Genomic DNA, 23,274 nt, shown 5'->3' with positions numbered 1-23,274 from the left:
GCTATATCAGGACCTATGAGATTTACTGGACCATTAAAACCATTCACCTCTCATTTACAGTAACATATTTAGAGCATGAGTGTCAAGTGCCAATAAGCTAGCACTTAAATAATGTCTATAAGAGGAAACAAAATGCATACACATATATATAAACACAACTATGCTTGCATGCACAAAATTTCTCATCTGTATTCCAGAAAGTCTCCTTAAAGGAGAGAAAATTGAGCCAGTTCACTCAAATTATTAATTTCTTGGAATTTTCACCAGTTTTGAAATTTGCAAAACTTTCAGTAATTGCCATTACTTTTCACTATATCACTTTAATATGAAAATTGTTTCTCTGACTTAAAACTTTTAACTCACCACTGAAACAATATTCTCTAGCTAGAGATTAATTAACAACATATCAGAGGCGGCAGACATCTGCAGGCAAAAGAAACTGCAGATATTCCCAGAGGCCTCCATTACATTGATTTGTAAACAAACAAACAAACAAACAAAAAAACAAGAGAAGAGCTGAAATCTAGATCTAGCATCTTATCCGTTAGGTAAAAATCATCTGAATACCTGGCATATATCACTGACATGTTGCTATTGGTAGTCCTGCAGTTAATTTAACTATTGTCAAAGGAACTTACTAGAGTTAATTTTTGTTATATACAGTACATATAAATTAGCTTTAAATTAATTTATTATTCTGTTATTCTACTATATGTACATAATTTTGTTATTTTATAGCTAATATATTTAAAATTTTGACTAATTAATACTAACAAAGGACTTATTGAAAAAGAATATTTGTAGTATTTTTTAATTAATTAATTTAATTCATTTCTATTTTGGCCTTGATTTGGTTTAAATTTTCCCTCTATTTTGAGACACTTAAAATCTAATGAGTATACTATAAAGCTGTAGAGGAGACATTCAAATTTTTGTTTCTATTTTTCCTAATAAGTGCTGAAATGAAAAGTAAACATGTTAAGAATACAGTATGAATATAAACATATACAGTGAACAGCATGAACAAGATCTACTGGCACAAAGAAACCCATGATAGAGCCATTAGAATTATTGTACAAATCTGCCTGTTATTTCCCAGCTAAACTTTACATTAGAATCTTGCTACAAAGTAGCAACTTTCCAAAGTTACAGACCCATTTTAATAATAATGTGCTTGCTTAATGTATCTAATTTTGGTATTGGGAAGGGATTCTTCAATAAATTGCTTTCAGAGTCTTAAAAAAACGCTCTGCATTTCAGTGCCAAACTAATATTAGGCTGTTCAATAGTCATACATTTATTAAAGTTGACTCTCAATAATGTTTTCAAAACTAACTCATTATAGATAAATGTATACTTTCTATTACTAATGATGTTCAAAAGAATGTGTCATAATTTCTGAAATGAAAAAAAAAATACATCGTAGTAACTTTAAAACACTTTTTGAGAGGGACAAAGTTGTTTAGGTAAATATAAAGTCTCCCAAGCAGAATATTTTGAAAATCAAGAATATCTTACATAGTTTTACTTTGAAATGAATGCCAAATAATTAATTTTATGCAGTACATTTATTGCACTTAGCATTCAACTCCTTAAAATAACTTGATTACTAGTCTGTTTTTATAACGTATTAATGTACTCAACACCTTAATACACTGCTGTACAGAAACAGATATAAATGTGTGTGTATGCAATTACTCTTCAACCAATGTTGCAGATTTCAACTTTAATGTTTCTATGTTTTAGTTTCACCTAGTAAGCACAATTTCTCCTTTAATAATTGGAGACTGTGAAGTAAAAATATGAGTTTTTAAAAAGGACAAAGTGTTCTCCCAAGGAGACTTGGAGAGTCTGAGAAAATACGAAAGTGTCATTTAGTCTATTTTTATTATGTCTCCAGAGAGCTTAGATACTCTGCAGTTTTCTCCCTAAAAAAGTTTATGTCCAAAGTAATAACCCTCATCAACTTTTCATCTATATTACTGTTTCTACATTTGTAAAGTTAAAAATAAGTCTAAAGAAAATAATCTAAACCTTTTGCTACTATTATCATGTTGTAAATAATTGGCATGAGAAACTTTTAGAGGAAGATTTGTGCCAGTTTAGTAAGAGGAAGAAAATGGCAAGGTGTGATATAACTGAGGTTAAGCCTAAGACAAATGTAATAGTTCAAGACCTTTCCCCGGGCACAAATTTTGCAGCCCAAGCACCAGTACTGAGAGATATCAACTCTATTCTTGCTCTGTCCTCAACTTGCTGTAAGAATCTGAATAAAATATTTATTTGCCTAAAATTCTTCATTTGTAAAAGTGAGAACTTATTAAACTCACTGGAATTTATACTAATGTTAATTTAAATTCCTTAGAAGTTACTACTGGAATATATGAGATATACTATAATTTTGAATAGAATAAGCAAATATTTTGTAGTTAGGTTACAAATTTAAAGCATTGTCAAGATGTTATAGAATTCTAAAGTCAAAAAATCAATTTAGGCAAAAATATAGTAGGTAATAATATTTCTTTAATACCTCCACTCTACCCATTATTTTTATATTTACTATTTCCTAACCATTTTTTTCCCTGTTAATTTCATATTACCCTATTATTTGAAACAAATCATAAGAAACAAATATAAATAAATGAATAAATAAAACCAATGACATGATAATGTAATTCATATCAAATTATCGATGATCTTTTTCTTTCATTTATAACAGGTAAATTTGTAATTTAAATAAAACCAAAGGGAAAAGGTTCAACCAGAACAATGAATGCACACTTGTTCAATTTTGGAATCAAAGTTAGAGAAATATTGTTTTGCATGATAGCACAGAGGAATAGGTATTCTCATCATGCTGATATGTCTCTACTCTGCTAGTCTCACAGAGGTGGCTTCCCTTTCTTTCAAAAATCTGCCAGTGCAACCAGCAGCTCTAAATTGGAAAAAAATCGCTGTTCTTAACTCCTTGACACATTTGTATAACAACTTCATTCTATATTTTGATTTGGGTTCTTTGATCACCTCTTTATTTGACAATAATTTTGTAATTATAAAATTTAAAGTTTGCATTTTGTAATGTACAATTTTTAATTGTAAATGAAACATTTTGTAATATGAGAAGAGATCATCTTTAGCATTATTTCATCATTTTTATTACTGTAAAATGGTGTACTGAGCATTTATTATTGTATATATAAGGGGTATATAGGGTTTAAGCTGCCTTTATAAATATTAGTAGAGGTAATAACTATTGGAGTAATTAGAAGGACTAGGGAAGTTATAGTAAGGGAAGAAAATACATTTATCACTTTTATTTGGAGTTGCACCAATGTTTTTGGTTCCTAAGACCAACAGAAAACTCTTATCCTTTAAAAGTTGAGAAAGTTATATTGTTAAATTTGGGGTCATGAGTTATGGGGACTGCGTAATCAAATATCTTTCTAGCAGAAGAGAACTTCCATTTTTACTAAGCAATTGTAAGAAGCAAGTTTTTATTTATAATTTTGAATATCTAAATTTGGGAGAATTTTTTAAAGACTAGCTTCAGGCACATTCTGCTGCTTCTCCATTACCTACACATTCCAGGGCTGTGTGTTTTAGGACATACTAATGTAGAAATTAGCTGTAGATATGGATATGGATGTAAATGTAGATGTAGATATAAATATAAAATAATTGAACAAAGCACAGATTTTCTATGTAGAATATGATGCTAAGATGTATATTAATATCCCTATAGCAAACGCTGAGATAATAATTTAAAAGTTTGTCTAAAATGATCAAAGTACATCAGCGACTGTCATACCTGGCCATTCATAAGCCCCCAATAAGTACATTGTTACGCACTACCAGGCATTAGGCCTGGAGGTTATTTTTCACCATTTTGGTTGAGACCCATGTATAACAATGTTTCAATAAAACTGTACTGAATTTACAAAAACAGATAGTGGCTGTATTTGGCCTTGAGGCTGTATTTTTTCAACTACTATTCTAGGTGATTAAGGGAGAAATTAGTATAGCATTAAGCTCCATAAAAATGAAAATATTAGTTTGATATTTTTATTTGTTATACCTCTCATTTAATCACTTAAGCAATGGTATTTGTTTTGCAGGCAAGTAGAATTTAATGGCAGGTTAAAATATACATTAATGAAAGGTGAACATTCAATGAGTTGTAATAAATGCTTTGCAGGTTGTAAACATGTAAGCACGAAGTATAAAAAGCGTATGGAGACCCTATGGAGCTGTAACACTGAAAAAATAAATGGAACAAGATGATGCAAGAAGCAAAACATTTATACATAGAAGATTTGTGATTATGATTTTAAATAATATATTTGCATTTTATGTTCTATCAGCCTGGTTATTGTTGGGAAATAAAAATCATAAACAAACCTATAAGTGACAAAATGACTGGAATATTGAGAGTTGTCATAAGACCTGGATCAGTTTTTTTTTTAATTATAAAAGTCTATGGGTTATTACATCATCAAAAATAACAAAAGGTAGCAGCCTTAAATTGTAGAATCTAAAAGAAAACCATAGGTAATAAAGTCTATTCTGTATTATTAATTTAATTGCAAAAAATAATGTAGTACAATGCTAATACACACCCATAATATTAATATGAAAACATGTTTTAAATTACCAAAAATATAACATATTGTCTTTTATTATAATGGTTTATGTACATATATTTTATTATATAAAACTTTTTGGAAATTGTAAATTATATGATGTTTGTTAACTAGGTTTATTTCATTAATGAGAATGACCTATTCTCCTGACAGTCTCAATAAACATTTACTCATATATTCATTTAGAAATATCTAAAATTTAGCTGCAGAAAGCTTACTCCAGAGACATTCAGCATTCTAACAGAAGTTGGAAAATTGAAAGTTCATGAAATGGTCATTTAGGTATTTCTGGATTCTGAGATCACCTTTTCAGCTCATATTTCAATTCAGGCCCTTTTTTCTTTAGAATAGGCTTCTCAAAACCCAGTGGTGACTTTATACATCATATTCATGTGTACTTCACACCACATTTTATTATCATTTCTATAGCCTGTATATCCTTTATGCAAGTCATAAGTACTATGTGACAATTGACATTGTTACTGAATTAATTTCACAGGATATAAATGTATTTCTTCATACTGCCTGTGTCAGGTATCCCAATAATATCCACCTTACTAATTTTAAGGGCTTTCTAAAAATGTATTTGATTAGCAATTTTTAGGGATGATTCCCAATTTCATTCTAGACATTTGTTTAGTGTGCATACTTTTCATATGAGATTTAAAAAATATATTTTAAGTCTACCTTTTTTCTCTTTGTTAACATTACTATGATATCCCTTTAATTTCAAAAATATTCTTCCATTCAAAAAGCTAGCTTTGGGTATATAATGAATTGAGTTTCTCTGACAATGAATTTCAAGTAGATTTTGTGTGTGTGATTATTAAGAGGTAAAAGATACTTCATGTCTTCCTAAAATGAATAATCCATTTATTTAATGGGTGGTTTGTTTGCTTAAGGCACTCTTTCAATTTGTACCACTTGGTAATATACCCACCAGGAGGCAGGTTGGCCTTCTCACCCTAAATGTATTTAATGCTTTCTTCAGCCCCTAGCATCCATTTTCCCTAACCAGTTGGGGCATATCTTGTAAACAGAATAAATAATTAGCTGCTTAACAGCTTCTTACTTGGAACATGAATTTTTAATCACTTAAGTGCAACATGGCAGAATGAGTGAACATATGCCTATATTTCCCTAAGAAAATAATGATCAGAATTACTATTCTCAGCAGAGCTCTTAAAACAAGACAGAGGGGTTTAATGGAGCTTGGTGGCCTTAGGACACTATTCAGTAACCAAGAATGAAGCTAGGTTTCTTAGAAAAATTCTGATTTCTATGTTAAAAAAACAATACCTGTGAGCCAGAAATCTCCCCGACAAATTTCCTTTTAAGTATCCTGCATGCCGTATTAGCAGTCAGAGAGAGCCATGCTTTAGTTGCAGTGTAATACATTTTAATCATGTCCTATCTCTTATTTTTTATATCCTCTCAAAACACAGTAAGAAAATAGAGAATTCTTTATATGTTATTTTAATACTTGACACCTTTCCCTAGAATTATTTTTCCTTTTTCTAGAAATAGAGTTGTTCATATCTTTCATTACTATAAAGTTTCCACCTCCCCTTTTCCTTCTAGTAATTACAGCAATTTTGCTATAAGGATGATATTGTAAGTCACTGAGAAGCCAATTAGCTTTTTCTGTACATGATTTATAAAAACAGGCTTTTGCATGTCCTGAGACATCTATCCAAAATTAGGTCACATGCCCCAGTTTTAAAATGTTACAGTTCTCCTTTGTCTAATCAGAAAAAAACATTTTGTTAAATGATTTTACATGGGCTCTAACCTTTATTAAATTTTATATGCTAGACAACGGTTTAAAATACTGGGTCTTCTGATTCATTCATTTTTTCTTAAAGTGTCATATCCTGAATTACTCAACAGAAACAAAATTTTAAGCTGACTATGGACGTAAAAGGAACAAGAGGGGAAGATTTTCTTTCTTCTTCCTTTCCTTTCATTTCTTACTATTTTCCTTTTTCTCTCTCTCTCTCTCTTTTGAACTGAAGAAAATAAAAATCTGCTTTCCAATTTAAACCATTAGCAAATCCTGTGGTTGGATGCCATTATGTTACTAATGGATCCACAGTGCAATGTGACACCATTTGTGATCTCCATTGGGAGATATAGGCACATAATACACATGTTTATTTTAAGTCTAAAAGGGTACACTAATGGTTTCAGCACTTTAGTGTTAAGTAATGAAAAATTGTCCCCTTTGGTAAAAAACGTGTTGTAATGTAATCCACGTTTTTGTTGAGATGATAGGGTATTTTCTCTCTTTATTGGAACTATGCTGAGTTTCAAATTATACTCATGACTTAAGATGAGGCATGGACATTCTTGAAGTTTGTTCTAATTAACTCTCAGCCACCTTCTGTCATATATACCTTATACCTCATTCTCACGATCCTCAAGTAGCCACATGGTTCAACGTCCAGTATATTGCTCTAAGACTGTAAACACATTAGGGTGTTATGCTCATGATTTATTAGATCATTGCAGGTCTTTTTTCCTCTTTCGTTTCTTCCTTCCTTTCTTCCTTTCCTTCTTTCTTTCTCTTCTTATTAAATTTCACTTGAATATTTGACAGCTAAACTCTAACAAGATAGATTATTTTTAAAAAGAGAAGACTCTCATTCTTAAACATGATAAACACTTGTCATATTCAAATTTTCAGATGAGGAAACAAAGGCCCCATGAATTTGCCCAAGCAATACATCTCTAAATAGTTAACTTGTTAAAATTTTCTTCTTATTTACTTTTATCTATATTTTATCATCTAAGCAATTGTAGGAAATGACACAATTTACGAATCCAGCCTGACCAACGTGGCAAATCCCTGTCTCTACTAAAAATACAAAAATTAGCCAGGCATGGTGGTGCGTGCCATAGTACCAGCTACTCAGGAGGCTGAGAAAGGAGAATAGCTTGAACCCGGTTGCAGTGAGCTGAAATCTGGCCACTGCACCCCAGCACTCCAGCCTGGTTGACATGAAACTCCATCTCAAAAAAAAAAAAAAAAAAAAAAAAAATCAGCTAGTGGAGATTTTAGGTTTGAGAATGTGGAGGAAACAATTAAATTGGATAAGGGTGTGATGCTTCCAGTTTAGATTCTAAGAAACTGTAGATGTTCAGTGCGTGTAATCAGGGAATACGCACATACTGTGAATCTCTCACATTCTTACCTGCTTCCTGCTTCCCAGGCACTTTTTATCCAGTCAGGTAAGAAGGCAATAAAAAAAGGAAGTAAGAACTTCAGAACAGGCACATTTCTTAGGGAGACAAAGCTGTCAAGTTTTGGTTTTCAAGTATGAGCCTATTTTCTCTCTTTCAAATTCAATCTCTGGTCAGGAGGGAACATTAAATCTAAACAAAATCTGGCATTTGAGAACACATGTAAAATCTGTATGACCCATTATATCATTGGATGGCAAGTGTTGAATATTGCGTGTTACCCAGCATACGGTGATAACATGGATGTTTAGCAGCTATCAAGTCAGATAACCGTGTAACAGCAGAATTCTGAAATATTGCAGAAGGAAGGGGCAGTGGATTGTAGGAGTAGTTTATCAATGAGATTTCATATTAGTTAAGCGCTGCTGTAGACTGACATAGCTTCTTGCATACTTGTAATTGTTCACAGGCTACAGAGCTCATTGAGCAGATTCCATTCTATGTCTAAAAAGCCTTTTATGCACAAACATGGGTATGCTTTATTGTTATTTAAAGCGGTATTACAAGAGATAGTAATTTTACTAGAGATATTCCAGTTTTAAGATTATACTGTCTTCTTTCATAATATCCTTTCTTAAACTTATTTTTGTTTGTCTATTGTACCAATATTTCTGTCATGTATATGGAGCTTTCGGACATTAATATTTGCTCCAGTATTTGCAAATATTGTCTATACGATATTCTTTTGTATTTTTTACCAAAACTATTAAAATGGTATTAAACCTTAATAAAATAAAATTTTAAAAATTTGTCCACTTCAGGATAGCCAGACATTCCCTAAAACTCATTTACTTTAAAACACTTAAGGAATTAGCACAGGTGAACTTCCAAAGAGATTAAAATTTCGCTAAAAGTTATATTTATCTAAAAGCGATACTTAAAAAAAATCAATTTGTCAAATAAAATGAAAGGCACCAAAGTGGTCTGATATTATTTCAATGATGCCAAACTAATAATTACAGCATTCCCAGCTTTTATTGTTCCGAATGTCTAAGAAGTCAGAAACATTTCACCTGCTTCACTCAGTTTCTTCTCATCCCTGTAATATAAATAGGCAGAGAGCAGGCATTACATGCTCATTGTGCAGTAAGTAAACTCAGACACAGAAGGGCTCTACGGCTTGCCAAAGGTTAGAGAGCTGGCTTTCAACACCACAGAGAACAGATTTACACCTCCTTTTGCAATTATTCTGTTCTTTACATTTAACTTTACTATTTATGTCAATGATACAAGATGGAATCTGTACAATAAAAAAGTTTATGCATTTTATGCATTAAAAGCCAGATTGATACTTTCATACTGTGTTCATGTCAATTGAATTGTCATGCAGCCCACATCTAATTTCAACTTTTTGCTTAAAATTCACCCAATTGCTCAAAAGTTCTTGTCGTTTCTTAAATGTAATGATTGAATAATTTCACTTTAAGTGGCAGAAATGGCTAATTTGGACACACACTGATAAGAAAAGGCAATGGAAGACAGTAATAGGGCAGTCAATGCCAAGTGAAATAAAACAATTGTGCCAGCAGTTGGAATGCCATATGGAAAAATGAAGCCTGGTTTCATAACCAGGATGAAGAAAAATCTGTCAAGGGTTATTTTTGTTGCATATTCATAACCTGATAAATTGTGTTAATTGCTAAAAGAATGAGGAGTCAACCAAGAATGGATTGATTGTGATGGAGCTGGAACATGTTAAGAATAGCAATACAGTTGCAGAAATCTATCCAAGTGGTATTTCAAGGCTTTTTGTTTTTTTGTTTTCCCACTTAGAACTGGCAGAGAAAAAAATTTGTTTTTGTCACTATTTACATTTTTGTTTGTATTTTCTACATTTACACATATAAATCTCATAAAAATCTTGAGCCATTTCTTGTGTACTTAAATAAATGGAGATATGATAAGGGTATATACATTAAATATCCAGGAATTTGGCCATTTTTATGTGCTATATTAGTCTAGAAAGTGCTATATCTGAGCACCTTGAGCCATAAATAATTATTCTTCCTATTTTTTTTTGTTGTTGTTATTGTTGGCTTTTGAAGAAAACATAGAAAAAATATTTAAGATTCAAAGTCCAAACAATGTGGATACATTACCTTTAGACTCACATTTCAACCACCGCCTTTTCAAACTCCTCAATTCAGGCCAACTATAATTTACCATATTCAATTTATACTACCTGATTTTCTTGGATCACTTATGAGATACATTCAAGAAAACTTATGCTTTAGAAGAAGTTCTAGAAGCTTTTCTTTTTAAAGTTCTATGAAGTATTCTCATCTCCTAGAACTATTTTGTATTCTGAGTAGGTTTTCCTAACTCCATGCCAACCTAGAGAAGTTGACTGAATGTATGTGTCCTTACAAAATTCATATAATAAAGCCCTAATCCCCAAAGTGCTAGTATTTGGAGGTGAAACTTTGGGAGGTATTTTGTCATGACAGAGAAGCCTTCACACAAGAGACATGACATCTCTCCATCATGTGAGGACATAATCATGAAAAGGAGACTTGACAGAAAGTGAATTGGCTGTCACCTTGATCTTGGACCTCCCATTCTCCATATTGTAAGGTATAGATTTCTGTTGTTTAAGCCACCCAGTCCATGATATTTTTTTGTTATAGCAACCACAAAAGACTCAGACAGAAACTGGTACCGAGAAGTCAAGTGCTGCTGAAACAAATACCTAAAAATGAGGAGCACCTCTGGAATTGGGTAATGGGAAGAGGGTAGAAGTTTTGAGGTATGTGCTATAAAAAGCCAATATTGCTTTGAAAGGATTGCTAAAGTTGACTCTGATGAGGACTCAGAAAGCAAAAAGGAGAGGTGTTGGGAAATATTCCCTCTTTTCAGAGGATACATACATGGAATCATGAATGGAATGTTGGTAGAAGTATGGACCTAAAGGCCAGTTGGATGATGTCTTAGAAGGAGATGAGGAACATGTTATTGGAAACTGGATGAGAAGAAGATGATTCTTATAAAGTGGCAAACAACTTTGCTGAATTGCATTTGTGTTCAAGTGATTTGTGGAAGGTAGAGCTTGTGCACAATGAAATTAGATAATCAGCTGAGGAGATTTCTAAGCAAAATATTAAAAGAGCATTGTGGTTCTTCTTGATTGCTTATGATAAAATGCAAGAAGACAGAAATCAATTGAAGAAGAAATTGTTAAACAAAAAGGAACCTAAACATAAAGATTTGAAAAATTTCCAGCCTATCCATGATACAGAGAATACAAAGGGTGTGGTCAAACAACCCTTTGATATGGAGATTATTATTATGTGTGTGAACCATGAACCTCATCATTCACCCCCCCCCAAAAAAAACACTCCCAGTTTGGAATAAAGGAGATAAATAAAATGGGATAAAATGAAAGAAGGTTGTCAGACTTCATAGACTCTACAGGATGAAACTATAGAGCTATTTGGCTACAAAACTGTGCTGTTCTTCAAGACAAGAGAAGAATAACCCCACAGGCAATTCATGGGTCTTCAGGGATGCAACTTCCACCATGGGCTCAGCTTTTATGGTACTGGAGGACAGGGCTGCCTCCACTTCGGTTTCAAAAGGAGGGACTGCTGCCAGCAGAGTCACATGAACAGGGACATCACCTTTGTTCCAAAGGCTGGAGTTGTGGGGGTGGGGCGAGTGGGACCACCATTCCACTGAGTCCTAGGGGTGGAACTGCTGCCCCAGTGGGCCTGGAAGGTATAGCATCAGTTCAAAGTGGATTATTCTTGAGCCTAAAAATATGATGGTATTTTGCTTGCTAGGTTTTGAGATTACAACACGTCACCCCTTCTTTCTTATTTTCCTTTTGTAATGGGAATGTCTACCCTGTATCTGTCTCATAATTGCATTTTGAAGGTACATAACTTGTTTGGTTTCACAGATTGACACCTGGAGAGGAATCTTGCCTCAAGATGAATTGTACCTCAAGTCTCACCCATATTTGATTTAGATGATATTTAAGTGAGATTGTGGACTTCAGACATGCGAGTTTGCCCTGGAACAAGTTAACACTTTGGAGCTCTTGGGATGGAATCAACTTGTTTTCCATGTGAGAAGTACATACATTTTGGGGGTCCAGGGATGGACTTCTATGGACAGGATGTTTTTAAACCCATTAAAATGTATATGTTTAAGCCCTGCTCCCCAACATGATGGCATTTGGAGGTTGGGCCTTTGGGAGGTAGTTAGGTCATGAGAGTGAAGCCCTCAATAGAATTAGTGTCCTTATGAGATAGATACAAGATAGGATCTGTGTGTGTGTGTGTGTGTGTGTGTGTGTGTGTGTGTGTGTGTGTGTGTGTTTGTGTGTTGTGTCTCCCTTTCCCTCCCTCTCTCTCGCTCTTTGCCCTATGAAAACATAAACAGGAAAAGGACCCTTACAGAAACCAAATCAGTTGGCACCTTGATCTCAGGCTTCCCAGCTTCCAGAACTGTGAAAAATGGATTTCTGTTGTTTAAGCCACCTAACCTATGATATTTTTGTTATAGCAACCTGAACTGACTAAGATAAAAAGGCTATCAGAATTTCAGGATGAGTTATATTGATCTAGCTACAAAGACATGAAATCAACTAGATGTCTTCTTCTGTCAGGAATTTAATGACTAAATATCTGGGTTTTTTTTTTTCTCTAACATAGGAAACAAAAGTCATGACTCATCATAAAGCACCTAATTAAAGCTGTAATAGTTGTAACATTATGCAGATATAAACTATAAATTTGTCTGTGACATTATGATATACAATTCATGTCAGAGACATGCCTAATGGATTCATTGTGCCAAACTGAAATAATAATATGCACCAGAAACTTGTACAATCCAAGCAATGTTATGTTAGTCATTAATCAATATACCCTAAATTTATTGAATAATTTTCACCTGTATCAACTTCCAGGATAATAAGGTTCTTCCTGCTTGGTACTATAGCAATAATATTTTGAGAATATTAAAATGTTAACTATGGATTACACTGAAGTACATTAAAATAATGTAATGTGAACTCAAAAATATTATTTTAAAACACAAAACATTGCAAAACATGATTTATATACTTCCAATTTAGTCCTATATCACACTGAACATATCCTTGGAAAGATATTGCCCCTAACCCACATGTTTTCCTTCTGGACTGTAAATGCCATGAAGGCAATGACTATATCTCTACTGTACTATATTTTTCTATTAAGTACAGTGCCTACCTCATAGGCTTCTTATGGATATAGATCTAATGCATATTTAAATATCAAACTAGTTCATAAATGAGTAAGCCAGCATTTATAAAACTACTATGTGAACAAAACACGGTAAGCACTGCATTTTAATCCAAAGCCCGACATTATTTAGAAAATCAACACACACATACTCATTTTTCTCAAACAACAGTGCTGGACTAAGTTCTGAGAAAGTCATTCTCTTTACCTGGGGACCTCTTTACATTGTGTCAGTGCTCAAAACAATACAGGTTACTAAACACGTTTTTAAAGTTAAAAGTTTTATTTAATGTTGAAAAGGAACAAGGATGGAATTATATGTGTATTTCAGCAGGTGATAAGATGAGATCATAACTACAAAGACAATAAAATGACCACAATAAACACTACTATTTATCAAGCAGCTGAGGAGTGTTGGTTAATGTAGCAAGCACCCTAAGGATGCTATCCTATGTAATTTCTATGTCTACCTTATGGATAAGGATACCGATTATAAGTGAAATGCAGAGAACTTTAACAATTCACTCAAAGTCACATGAGTAAGTAATAGAACTAAGATTTGACATCAGGTCTGTTGAATGCTCAAATTTTTGTATTTTCCACTATTCCATATCCCCTCAGTTATGTAAGGAACTTACAGAATAACACTGCAAATCTAAGCTGCAATTGAAATTTAACATGTTTGTTTCTCTGATTGCAATTTTCATTTGGTGCCATTAAAAAGTAATTTTCTGTGAGTGAATTCAGCAGGAACTGTAATGATTTATCCAAAAAAGATGAATTGCATATTTAGTAATAAATGTCTTCATATTACGTAGAATACTTAACCCTTGAGTAGTTGATATCAAGGAAAGTTACTAGTTTGAACTGAAGGGGAAAAAAAATTAAGACATATTAAGCAGTATAATGAAGTGAATACTAAATGTGACAAGCAAAAACAATGTCTCCAAAGGAGCATACAACAACCTTTTCAATATTTCAAAATTTGACTAGTTCAAAGAAGTGTGATTAATGTATATAGGAATAATAAAAGTTATGTAACTAGAAATTAATTGTATATTGATTCTTGTTATTTAATCATTTTCAGATTGTTCCATTATATTTTGTCACTATGAATGCTTATTATTTTATTTTTCCTATATGCTTTAGAATTTTAGTTTGAAACTCAGTTACTATATTTTTAAACTTTCTGTTTTTACTCACTTCTATGTATTACCTCTTTGTAGTCATGCAGAATAAATTTTCATTTGGTTTTTTGTTTTTGTTTTATTAAAAATTGGTTACTGGTACCCCATGGTGATATTGAATGTACATATCAACCTAGCAGATAACTAGCTCAAGTTCTGCCTACAAGTTCTACCTCTCATAGGCATAGGCATAAATCAGTTGAAATCTCATTTTGCATGTCAGTGGTTCCTGTATGAGTCCCTAATTTCTTACATAAGCTTGGTTTGGGTTCTACATGTTATTTTTGGTATTACATTTTTTTGGGCACTTTGGACATTTTTCTATACTTGTTTTTCTCACTTTTCTCATTATGGAGATGCGGCCAGTAAGAACACATATTGGTTCCATTACTTCCTCACTATTCCTATTGCTTTAGTTCGTTGTTTCCTACCTATTGTAATAATATTGCAATCAATTCCCCTTGAGAAGCCCTTTAGAGGCAGAATTGCGTAGTTTTAAGGCTGATAGAATGGTGTACAAAGCTAGAAACAAATGAGTATTTTGGGGTCAGTAAATGAATGGGACCAGTGTTAATATGGAAATACAAGAGGAGGAGCAAGCTAAAAAGCTTAGATAAGGAGCTCAGTTTTGAACTACAGATTTTGTAGAAGATTCAGACAACTCTAAGTCTAACTTAGATATAGCTTATAATATGTCTTCAATACTGTTTAATGAAAACAGAGCTACCGTTATACCAGAAACCTTGCTTATTTGTTCTTGCTGGTCTTAGCCTTTATTCTGGCCACTAATACTGTTTTATTTTCTGTTTTTATATATTTTGCGTGCACTTGTGTGTGTGTGTGTGTGTGTGTTTGTGTGTGTGTATGTGTATTTAACATTAAATGAGTTATTTTATAGGCTCTCTTTTCTTTATATATATTTGTTGTTAATCATGTTAATACCAGCTTGGTAATTATACAAGGTTATTATAAAAATCAATATGCTATACTTATCAAATAATCTGTAGAGCCCTGTACAAACTAAAATGCAGAGTCCTGTGCAAAACTAAGATATTATTAAAATTATTAGGTCATTTAGTCTCATATTTAATGATACTAGAACTAGGTGAAATTTTCAACTATGATGAAATGTTCATTATTAACATACTTAGGCAGTGTCATTTATAATGCGCTAAAGAATAATGGTAATTCTTACTGCCTATTACAGGTCTTCTAAGGAATTGTGTAGCATCAAAATTGTTTTATTTACTTTCGTCATAGACTTCCATGTAATTTCTCAGAGTCCCTTTGCACTTTGCATCTTAAAATCTAGATATCCTGTCTTACTTTTTTTTTCCTTTTTTTTCCACCAGCTGACAACACCTACTTCTGGGAAAAAAACAAAACAAACAAAACAAACAAAAACAAAACAAAACAAAAACCTTTGGCACAAAGATTAATCAAGTAGAAAATCAATTTATAATGAATTAAAATGACTACAATGTATTTTAAAAATTACTTTTGTATTGCTACCTGTCTTAGCATCTATATTACTTGCATGAAATAATGTTTTGTAAAATAGCAATTATAATTACTTATTAAATTTCCTTTTCTGTTATAATATTTAAGAAATTTTTCCTATGATGCAAATTTCAATGGCAGAAGTTCTCTCAAGGTTATCACTGCAAAACATTATATTTACCTTTCTCTAATTACATTCATTATATTTTGAGTTTCTCATATATGCATTCAGAATCACATCCCTCTCTTACACTCTCGTTTCTCTCTGTGATGACAATGCCACTTGCTAATGGCTGCTTCTTGGCATCCTCTCCCTCAGTGTGCATTGCTGCCAACTTCTGACTTCAAGGAATGAAGTTCTTTTTCTCCCAACCATCAGTTATTAACCTCATATTTTTCTAGGAACACATCCAAATTTTATCCCCTATCCTGTATCAAGGTCTTCTTAAATAACTGAAAATAAAAGTCATTTTTTCCTCAACAGTCTTCTGACAACTTCTATAGATCTCTGGTCTGGCTATGTTTTCGTATGAAGATTCAATATCAGTATATTTTCACAAAAATCTGTATGATCAATGTTACTGATTATATGTTTATTAAATCTTTGTTTTTGTTTTTTAAATCTAGGGAATTCTGATCAGAGAATAAAGGTGAATTTTAAGCTGAATTGATGCCTGGTATGTAAACAATTTCAAAGTTAAGGTGATTGCATCTACAGCAAATTCAGGACGTATATTCCCTTCATCAGTTTTCACACTTTGAATGAAGCTTGGACATAGAAGAAAAGTAGTGGAAGATTAGACATATGGGGACAATTAAAACACACATACTCTGCCAGGCTGAAGTGAGTCTAGGTGATGACAGTGAGTTTATCTTTCTATAATCATGTTTAGTTCTGTTCAATCTTTTACTTGAATTTATTTGCTTCTTTTCATTAATATGCTATTTAATAATCTTTAAATGAGAATATTTATATAAATACATTCTCAGGCAATAATTTTTAGTGTTTCATCAAAATTGACTTCCTTTTCTTCCAAGATGCACAATCATAGTATATTTCCAAGGCTCTATTGCAGGTGGAGCAATGTGAATTCTGGTCCATGTGTTTGAAGAAGTGGTAGGTGATACTTCCACAGTGGAATATAATAATCTTCCAGACACGTTTACCCTTCCTCTTCTCTCTTCCTTCATTTGAAAAATGATGATGGCTTCTTTTGTTTGACTATGTAAATAAGATTAGGCTGACACTGGAAAACAATGCCAAAGATGGCAAAAGGTCTGCCAAACTCTATGCCAGCAAGATTTTGTAAAACAGCCCCCAGTGACGTGCACACTTTCAGAAATGTTCTATTATGTTATGTCACTAAAATTCTGGGGTCCATTTGTTACCACAGCCAATTTACACAAACTTAATACAGTATCTGTGGAGCTTCTTTAGAAAGTGACAATTTATATTATAAATCTTAACTACTTTGGAGATTTTATTTCCTTTATCACCAGCCTTTGAGGTTTTGCAATTTTGTGTGGGACTGTGATTGGTTGATTTTTTTTATCCTGTGTAAAAGTTGTTTCAGCAGAGGATAACACAGCTAAGTAGTGGGAAGTTCAGTTCAAACCAGGAATGCAACAAATGGCCAACAGCTATTGAATATCTGAAAATTAAGCATTTCCCTTGGGAGAAAAGGGGCTAATTTATATTCAATTATCTAATTAATGGTCACAAATCACATCTGCCTGAAATGTTTACAATAAGGAGAAACCGTTGTATATTAAGACATAAAATACAGTTAATTTCTATCTCATTGGAGGTCTCAATGGTCCTCTGAGATCTGATTAAGCAATTACATGGGCCTCAGCACCACTCGTAAGTATTTAACAACATTTGGGATGGGTTATAACCTAGAAGTTAACAATTTATTATCAGTATTCAACTAATATGGTTTGGCTGTGTCCCTACCCAAAACTCATCTTGAATTGTAATTCCCACAATTCCCATATGTCATGGGAGAAACCTAGTGGGAGGTAATTGACTCATGGGAGCAGGTCTTTCTTGTGCTGCTATCATGATAGTGAATAAGTCTCAGGAGATCTGATAGTTTTAAAAATGGCAGTTTCCCTGCACAAGCTCTCTTCTCTTGTCTGCCGCCATGTGAGATGTGTCTTTCACCTTCTGCCATGACTGTGAGGCCTTCCCAGCCACGTGGAACTGTAAGTCCAATAAACCTCTTTCTTTTGTAAATTGCCCAGTCTTGAGAATGTCTTTATTAGCAACATGAAAACAGACTAATACATCAACATTAATTCATCAAATAGTCAGCATAGAGGGAATAATCAGTATTTTTAAAGACTCATTTTCATAAAACATTCACATAAATTGAGTTAAGAACCTATTGAATGATAGTGGATATAGATATACTTCTAAAAGAGCTGTAAGATTCTACTGGTGGTTTTTTATAATCAGATCAAAAGTGATGGACATCTGCTTCTTGGAGTTTTGTTTTGATCCATCATAAATGTGTGTTTTATATGTCTATGTAAGATACAAACATGTTAGATTGAGTAAATGTTTTATATTTGAGTGCAAAATTGCTTAGGGCTAAATATTGTCCTTAGGTTGCCATGTGGTTTTGCTCACTTCATTCATCATTCCTGTAAAACGTTTCCCTGCTATAATTGTTTATTGCAATCAAGAATAAAAATGTCAACTTGTGCTTTGGACACATTGTTTGAGTACCTTTATATTTTCAAATCTCCAGATTGTATCTTGTTCTCTGTGGCATATATGATAATAATCATTAATACTTGAGGGCTTACTGTATGATATGCATTGTTCAATGTGCATTACACTTCTTAACTCATGTAATACTCATTGAGGTTCTACAACAGTCTACCCATTTTGCAAGTGTAGAAACTGGCTTTTAGCAGTGCCAAATATCTTGCCCAAGGTACAGATAGAAGCGATGAAGATGTAATTTGAACCCAGTCAGTCTGGCATCAGAATGCGGTGTGCATATTGCCCACATTTCTTTTTATAAACATCTAAGTCAGCTTTGAGATATATTTTGGAGGCTTTTTCCACAATCATTCAAAATTACAAAAGAGTAGAAGTAAATATGTTAAATCAGCTATAACTACTGCACCAATATTTTTGTAGACAATCTTTGGAAGAGATTATAGATGATACATTTTATCTGAAGAAACAAGAAAGTTGCTCTTTCATCTCAGGCTTCTGATAAAAATCACATACAAATAATGGAAGAATATGTATTTTTTTAATTGTCTAGGTTATTTTTTACAAATCAATGTAAAGCCAAATTGGTCCTGATATTTTTAATTTATGTTCCTATTTCATTGCTCCTTCTTTAGAATAGAGGATGTTTTTGTTTTTATTTTGACCTATTTGCCAGAGACAGGTTCATTACTTGCTCTACCACTTAGTGCTTTTCACACATAGCAAGTTATAATAACTCCTGGCCTCCTTTTCGCCTTGGTAATAATAGTGGGTAAATCCAAATGATAATAATAATATTGTTTATCTCATAGAATTGTTAGAGGTATTAAATAACTTTTCAGTTAAGCCATACTGCATAGGACCAGAATAAAATGAGAGGCACAATAAATTATATTTAACAATAATAGGAATAAAAATTTAAAATCGTTAAGAAATGCTAACGTGTATCTTTTTATGGTTTAACTTTGAAAATTAACCACTGAAACTAACCTAAAACAGCAACCAATTTAAACTATTATCATGGCCTTTATAAATTACAGCTTGAAAACAGAATAATTATCTCATGCTATCTCATTCCTTTAAGCCAGCTAAAACCAAATAGTGATGAATACAACTCCTGCTGCTCCCTGGAGACTATATTTCCTTAAACTTCTGCCGAACTTTCAATTACAAGGGAGAACAGAAATAGTGAAAGCCCTGCAGTATCGTATTACTCTATAGCTAATTGAGAGGGGAAAAAAAAAGATATCAGGCCTGAATAATTATAGCAGGAACCAGATGATGAGCTCACCAAGAGTCCCAGATAAATATTTCCAGTACTCAGAAGACATGAGAGGCTTTGCTAACTCATTTTCTAGTCAATTATTTGAAAAGTCTTAGACAACTTCAAAGTAAAGAAACATCCTAGAACTCATTACAATCTGCAAACTATATTGTAAAGTTGTCATCCATATTGAGTGGTCTTGAATGTCCCATAGCAGTCCATTATGACATAGTTATAAAATTTATTTTTCCTCAGTCATATATATGTCAAGCTACTCCTCTGAAAAAAACAATTTACCTTCTGCTTAATTCCTACACTGTTGATACTCTTAAGACTCAGTATTATTTGACTTAGTCATATTATTTTCTTCTCAAATTCTGAAAATGTCATTCTTATAAAATTTTCCTTCAATAATTCTATCTTTTTTTTCTAGTACACTGTTAGTGGTTGAACAAATGGTATGATCATGTTTAGTTTGATATGAAGAAAATATCATGTATACAAATTACTGTGTTTGGGGTTCTTTCTTCCTTTTCTTTTCTTTTCTTTTCTTTTCTTTTCTTTTTTTTTTTTTTTGTTAGTTTTCTCATTACCGCGTTACAAAGGCAAAAAGTCAGATTTAGGGAGTTGCTAGTTAGAATCATTTCCAGATACGCTGAACAATACAGAATTGTTAACTATAGGCACTATGCTGTACAGCAGGTTTCTAGAATTTATTCATCTTGCATAACAAACATTATACTGTTGAACAACAACTTCATCTTTCCCTCTTCACCAGTCTCTGGAAACCACCATTCTACTCTCCACATCTATAATTTTGACTATTTAAGATAACTCCTATACATAGAATCATGTAGTATTTGTTCATGACTGCCTCATTTCACTTACCATAATATCCTACAGGTTCATCCACATTGTTGCATATGGCAGAATTTCCTTTTTTGTCTGAATAATACTCTGTTGTATGTTTATAACACATTTTCTTTATCCATTCATCTATCAATGGACATTTAGATTGTTTCCATATATTTTGTTTGTTCATTCATTTTTATTTGTTTATTTTTATTTCAATAGCTTTAAGGTTGCCTGTGGTTTTTGGGTATATAAATGAATTGTGTAATGGTGAAGTCAGACATTTTAGTGTATCTGTCACTCAAGTAGTGTACATTGTACCCAATATGTAGTTTTTCATCCCTCAGTCCATTTCCACCATCCCTCCTTCTGAGTCTCTAATGTCCATTATGCCATTCTGTAAGCCTTTGTGTACCCATAGTTCAGCTCCCATTTATAAGAGAGAACACGGTATTTGGTTTTTCCTTTCCTGAGTCATTTAATTTAGAATGATGGTCTCCAGTTCCATCCGAGTTGCTGCGAAAGACATTACTTTGTTCATTTTTATGTCTAAGTAGTATTCTCTGGTGTATATATACCACATTTTCTTTATCCACTGATTGGTTGATGGGCACTTAGGTTGGTTCCATATTTTTAGAACTGTGAATTGTTCTGTGAATTGTGCTGCAGTAACATATGCATACAGGTGTCTTTTTGATATAATGACCTACTTTCTTTTGTGTAGAAACCCAGTAGTGGGATTGCTGGATCAAATGGTAGATCTACTTTTAGTTCTTTGAAAAATCTCCATACTGTTTTCCATAGAGGTCATACTAACTTACATTCTCACCAGTACATATAAGCAATATCTTTTCAGCACATCCACACCAACACCTATCGTTTTTTCACTTTTTAGTAGGAGCCATTTTATTTTAATTTTCATTTTGGTTTTAATTTTCATTTCCCTGAATATTAGTAGATTTTAATTGAATTAACTCTGAACCATATTAAGATATTAACTATTAAATAGATATAGATCATTTTTATCATTTGTGTTGGCAAATTACACTTTTTTTTCATAGCACACTCAAGAAGTGGTAACTCCCTGCTCATTTAGCTCAATGTTCTATTTCAAATAAATTTCACTACTGGATGTGCTCCCTGATTCAGTATAATCCTCAGAAACGTATCTGGGGGGACAGATATTTAGATAGTGCCATCTGTTCTGCTAGTTTTGTGTTTACTCTCCTTTCTTAAATATCACTCCTACCACTTTCTCCAGACCTTAAACCGAGTTGTTTTGATAAATATCTCCTGAATTATTTGCTTGCTGAACATTAGTTTCTTAAATATAAAAGAGAGTATAATTTTTAAAGCACCAGAAATTTATTCTCTGGTTATTTAATTTTGGTACATTAGACCCCTGATTTATAAAACAGATTGATCTACAATATATGTTGCTTTTTCTTTTACTACAAAATGGTAACTTTTTTATTTAAGTTTCAAATAGTTGTTCCAACTCAATCTCTTTGGTTTTGACAGTTATACTGAGTTGATTTTTCTTATCCCAATACTGATCTGTAAAAACAAAACAGGCATAAGTAAAAATAAAAATCAAGCTTTACGTTCAATATTTTCATACATGCGTGCTCTGTATGAACATTTCCACCCTCTCAAATTGGTTTTTGCCTCAATCTCTTTTCTGATATAGACCATGCAATGAAAAGGAAATGTGTGAGCATAGTTCTTCAACTCACTAAATTTGATATCCTTTTAGTTTTATGTAAACAAGAAAAAAAGAGGAAAGAATGAATGGATTGTATTATTTGGTACTGAATATGTTCCAGATTGATGGTCTTTTCATATTTTGCCCTAACCAATGACTTTATAGGCCCTCATTTTGGCTAGAGCATCATTCACCAATGAAAATTTTGTTCTCAGTGTTTTTTAGGGAAAAATCAATTTTCTCCCTTTTTCCCACTTCTAGAGGGTGCCTGCATTCTTCGGCCCGTGACCCCCTTGCTCCACCTTCAGTCGGCAATGGTGATTTGCGTTCTTACATTGCCCCACTATTCTCTTCTTCTTCCCTTGTTACTTTCATGGAAACTAGTGATTACATTGAGTTCACTAAGATAATCCAGTATTATCTCTCCATCTCAAGGTAATTAATTTAATTACATCTGCAAAGTCTATTTTGCCATCTAAGGTTAAATATTCACAAGCTCTAGTTTAGGATGGAGGTATCATAGGAGGGGTCAATTATATGTATCTATGTGGTTTTTATTGTGAAAAAATATTCTTGCTATATTCTAGCAGGTTAGTATGCATACATGTAAAATAAATCCTTTATTGTCCAAGAAAAATGGAAACACAAATTTGAGAACTCAGTGAAAAAATAAAAGATCATAGGTCTCTTAATCATATATTCTTGCACAGATAAAAAATAATTTATACTTATTAAGGCCTTAATGTGCTTAGCATGTATCAGAAATTGATGTCATGTCTTCATAACACTTTTATCCTCACAACAAACTTATGAAATAGGAGCTATTATTAACATTATTGTTTACTGAAAGGATACTGAAGCTAAGAACATTTATGCAAATTGTCCAAAGCTGGTAAGTAACAACCCAATCTGGTCTTAGAGTCT

General features: G+C 32.7%; 1 long non-coding RNA gene across 2 annotated transcripts in view; it reads right to left on the bottom strand.

The window, feature by feature from the left end:
• The window catches only part of LOC105377261 (uncharacterized), a 148,733-nt gene that overhangs the window by 83,173 nt on the left and 42,286 nt on the right, over nt 1–23,274 (bottom strand). Inside the window, exon 3 of one of the 2 annotated variants that reach the window (XR_938844.2) lies at nt 22,141–22,202. The exons of the other annotated variant lie outside the window; for it this stretch is intronic. This is a non-coding gene — a long non-coding RNA (uncharacterized LOC105377261). Of the gene's footprint in view, nt 1–22,140; nt 22,203–23,274 lie in introns of those variants that run through there. 2 annotated transcript variants of the gene reach the window in all.

Source organism: Homo sapiens, chromosome 4 (genome assembly GCF_000001405.40).
Source record: "Homo sapiens chromosome 4, GRCh38.p14 Primary Assembly".
In the NCBI taxonomy this organism is placed as follows: domain Eukaryota; kingdom Metazoa; phylum Chordata; class Mammalia; order Primates; family Hominidae; genus Homo; species Homo sapiens.
Note: the sequence above shows the minus strand (reverse complement) of the source record. Positions and strands in the feature narration are given on the sequence as shown.